Consider the following 5135-nt stretch of genomic DNA (forward strand, 5'->3'; position numbering starts at 1 on the left):
CACCTATATACAGATATGTATATACACACCTATATACATATATGTATATACACACCTATATACATATATGTATATATACACCTATATACATATATGTATATATACACCTATATACATATATGTATATATACACCTATATACATATGCATACAGCTATAGTGCATACATATATATGGTTGTATATATGTGTATATATATATACATATATGTACACCTATATATATATATAACTTTATATATATATAGATTTGGTACCATCCATGGTTTCAGGCATCCACTAGGGGTCTGGGAACCTATTCCCCAGAGATAAGGGGGGACTACTGTACTGCTAGTTGTCACTCTCTCTTTGCCTGACTCTTCATTCTTGACTTGCATGAATCTTCGAATTTTTTTTTCGTTGTGGAGGTGTACTGAATTTGTACCCTCCGTCTGAATAACCAAGGGCTGCCCCAGGTCAGTTTTTTTTTTCTGAACACCAAGGAGAACACAAGGCTGAGTTCCCAGTGCCACAGCAATGCCAGGCAGGCATAAACTAGACACAGGTCACACAATGGCCACAAGGGCATCTGCCAGCATAAATGGGTTTCCCATGTAAGGGACCCCCGGTCTCAAGTCAGATGACTAGGGACTAGACAGTCCTTCAGGAAAAAAAAAATATCCCTTGAAAGGCACACTGGAGATACCCACGCTCAGCCCCCCTTCCTTTTCCACTAGGGAGCCGTTGGCAGCTGCTCTGGTACTAAAATTTCAGTTTGGCTGGGGGCTCTCAAAACACTAGCCCTGAAGATTTTCTTGGTGAAAATTCAGGGCTTCATCTGTAGTCAGGATATTTCAGAGTTAATTTGTAATTACTGAATTGGAAAATAGTTTGTATCCTGGTTCACAGCTGAAATACAAGGTAAATAGTATTAATGTATTCATCAATACATCAATAATAGAAAATTTCCATAAGTGCTTACTAAATACCAGGGACACTTCTTTTATTATTATTGTTATTATTATTATCATTATTATTATTATTATTATACTTTAAGTTCTGGGGTACATGTGCTGAACGTGCAGGTTTGTTACATAGGTATACACGTGGCTTGGTGGTTTGCTGCACCCATCAACCCATCATCTACATTAGGTATTTCTCCTAATGCTATCCCTCCCCTAGCCCCCCACCCCCTGACAGGCTCCAGTGTGTGATGTTCCCCCACTGTGTCCACATGTTCTCATTGTTCAACTCCCACTTATGAGTGAGAACATGTGATGTTTGGTTTTCTGTTCTTGTGTTAGGTTGCTGAGAATGATGGCTTCCAGCTTCATCCATGTCCCTGCAAAGGACATGAACTCATCCTTTTTTATGGCTGCATAGTATTCCATGGTGTATATTGCCACATTTTCTTTACCCAGTCTATCATTGATGGGCATTTGAGTTGGTTCCAAGTCTTTGCTATTGTGAACAGTGCCATAATAAACACACATGTGCATGTGTCTTTATAGTAGAATGATTTATAATCCTTTGGGTATATACCCAGTAATGGGATTGCTGGGTCAAATGGTATTTCTAGTTCTAGATCCCTGAGGAATTGCCACACTGTCTTCCACAATAGTTGAACTAATTTACACTCCCACCAATGTATAAAAGTGTTCCTATTTCTCCACATCCTCTCCAGCATCTGTTGTTTCCTGACTTTTTAATGATCGCCATTCTAACTGGTGTGAGATGGTATCACATTGAGGTTTTGATTTGCGTTTCTCTGATGGCCAGTGATGATGAGCATTTTTTCATGTTTCTGTTGGCTGCATAAATGTCTTTTTTTGAGAAGTGTCGTTCATATCCTTTGCCCACTTTTTGATAGGATTGTTTGATTTTTTCTTGTAAATTTGTTTAAGTTCTTTGTAGATTCTGCATATTAGCCCTTTGTCAGATGGATAGATTGCAAAAATGTTCTCCCATTCTGTAGGTTGCCTGTTCACTCTGATGATAGTTTCTTTTGCTGTGCACAAGCTCTTTAGTTTCATTAGATCCCATTTATCAATTTTGGCTTTTTTTGCCATTGCTTTTTGTGTTTTAGTCATGAAGTCTTTGCCCACACCTTTGTCCTGAATGGTATTGCTTAGGCTTTCTTCTAGGGTTTTTATGGTTTTAGGTCTTATGTTTAAGTCTTTAATCCACCTTGAGTTAATTTTTGTATAAGGTGTAAGGAAGGGATCCAGTTTCAGTTTTCTTTGTATGGCTAGCCAGTTTTCCCAACACCATTTATTAAATAGGGAACCCTTTCCCCATTGCTTGTTTTTGCCAGGTTTGTCAAAGATCAGATGGTTGTAGATGTGTGGTGTTATTTCTGAGGCCTCTGTTCTGTTCCATTGGTCTATATATTTGTTTTGGCACCAGTACCATGCTGTTTTGGTTACTGTAGCCTAATAGTATAGTTTGAAGTCAGGCAGTGTAATTCCTCCAGCTTTGTTCTTTTTGCTAAGGAGTCTCTTGGCTATGTGGGCTCTTTTTTGGTTCCATATGAAATTTAAAGTAGTTTTTTCCAATTCTGTGAAGAAAGTTAAGGATAGCTTGATAGGAATAGCATTGATTCTATAAATTACTTTGGGCAGTATGGCCATTTTCAAGATGTTGATTCTTCCTATCCATTAGCATGGAATGTTTTTCCGTTTGTTAGTGCCTCCTCTTATTTCCTTGAGCAATGGCTTGTAGTTCTCCTTGAAGAGGTCCTTCGCATCCCTTGTAAGTTTTATTCCTAGGTATTTTATTCTCTTTGTAGCAATTGTGAATGGGAGTTCAATCATGATTTGGCTCTCTGATTATCTGTTATTGGTGTTTAGGAATACTCATGATTTTTGCACATTTATTTTGTATCCTGAGACTTTGCTGAAGTTGCTTATCAACTTAAGGAAATTTTGGACTGAGATGATGGGGTTTTCTACATATACAATCATGTCATCTGCAAACAGAGACAATTTGACTTCCTGTCTTCCTATTTTAATACACTTTATTTCTTTTTCTTGGCTGATTGCCCTGGCCAGAACAACCAATACTATGTTGAATAGGAGTGGTGAGAGAGGGCATCCTTGTCTTGTGCCGGTTTTCAAAGGGAATGCTTCCAGTTTTTGTCTATTCAGTATGATATTGGCTGTGGGTTTGTCATAAATAGCTCTTATTATTTTGAGATACCTTCCATCAATACCTAGTTTATTAAGAGTTTTTAGCATGAAAGGATGTTGAATTTTGTTGAAGGCCCTTTTTGCATCTATTGAGATAATCATGTGGTTTTTGTCACTGGTTCTGTTTATGTGATGGATTACATTGATTGATTTGTGTATGTTGAACCAGCCTTGCATCCCAGGGATGAAGCCGATTTGATCATGGTAGATAAGCTTTTTGATGTGGTTGCTGGATTTGGTTTGCCAGTATTTTATTGAGGATTTTCGCATCTATGTTCATCAGGGATATTGGCCTGAAGTTTTCTTTTTTTGTTGTGTCTCTGCCAGGTTGTGGTATCAGGATGATGCTGGCCTCAAAAAATGAGTTAGTGAGGAGTCCCTCTTTTTCTATTGTTTGGAATAGTTTCAGAAGGAATGGTACCAGCTCCTCCTTGTACCTCTGGTAGAATTTGGCTGTGAATCCATCCAGTCTTGGATTTTTTGGGTTGGTAGGCTATTAATTTTTGCCTCAATTTCAGAACTTGTTATTGGTCTATTCAGGGATTCGATTTCTTCCTGGTTTCAGTCTTTTTGCGCTGGTTTCTCCCCATCATCCTGGTTTAGTCTTGGGAGGGTGTATGTGTCCAGGAATTTATCCATTTCTTCTAGATTTTCTAGTTTATTTGCATAGAGGTGTTTATAGTATTCTCTGATGGTAGTTTGTATTTCTGTGGGATCAATGGTGATATCCCCTTTATCATTTTTTATTGCGTCTATTTGATTCTTCTCTCTTTTCTTCTTTATTAGCCTGACTACTGGTCTATTTATTTTGTTGATCTTGTCAAAAAACTAGCTCCTGGGTTCATTCATTTTTTGAAGGTTTTTTTTTGTGTCTCTGTCTCCTTCAGTTCTGCTCTGATCTTAGTTATTTCTTGTCTTCTGCTAGCTTTTGAATTTGTTTGCTCTTGCTTCTCAAGTTCTTTTAATTGTGATGTTAGGGTGTCGATTTTAGATCTTTCCTGGTTTCTCTTGTGGGCATTCAGTGCTATAAATTTCCCTCTACACACTTCTTTAAATGTGTCCCAGAGATTCTGGTACATTGTGTCTTTGTTCTCATTGGTTTCAAAGAACATCTTTATTTCTGCCTTCATTTCATTATTTACCCAGTAGTCATTCAGGAGCAAGTTGTCCAGTTTCCATGTAGTTTTGTGGTTTGAGTGAGTTTCTTAATCCTGAATTCTAATTTGATCACAGTGTGGTCTGAGAGACTGTTTGCTATGATTTCCATTATTTTGCATTTGCTGAGTAGTATTTTACTTCCAATTATATGGTCAATTTTAGAATAAGTGTGATGTGGTGCTGAGAAGAATGTACATTTTGTTGATTTGGGGTGAAGAGTTCTATAGATGTCTATTAGGTCTGCCTGGTCCAAAGCTGAGTGCAAGTCCTGAAGAATATCCTTGTTAATTTTCTGTCTCATTGATCTGTCTAATATTGACAGTGGGGTGTTTAAATCTCCCATTATTATTGTGTGGGAGTCTAAGTCTCTTTGTAGGTCTCTAAGAACTTGCTTTATGAATCTGGGTGCTCCTGTATTGGGTGCATATATATTTAGGATAGTTAGCTCTTCTTGTTGCATTGATCCCTTTACCATTATGTAATGCCCTCCTTTGTCTCTTTTGATCTTTGTTGGTTTAAATTCTGTTTTATCAGAGAATAAGATTGGAAACCCCTGCATTTTTTTTGCTCTCCATTTGCTTGGTAAATATTCCTCCATCCCTTTATTTTGAGCCTATGTGTGTCTTTGCACATGAGATGGGTCTCCTGAATACACTGATGGGTCTTGACTCTATCCAATTTGCCAGTCTGTGTCTTTTAATTGGGGTCATTTGGCCCATTTCCATTTAAGGTTAATATTGTAATGTGTGAATTTGATCCTGTCATTATGATTCTAGCTGGTTATTTTGCCCATTAGTTGATGCAGTTTCTTC

This window comes from Homo sapiens, chromosome 6 (assembly GCF_000001405.40).
Source record: "Homo sapiens chromosome 6, GRCh38.p14 Primary Assembly".
NCBI lineage: Eukaryota > Metazoa > Chordata > Mammalia > Primates > Hominidae > Homo > Homo sapiens.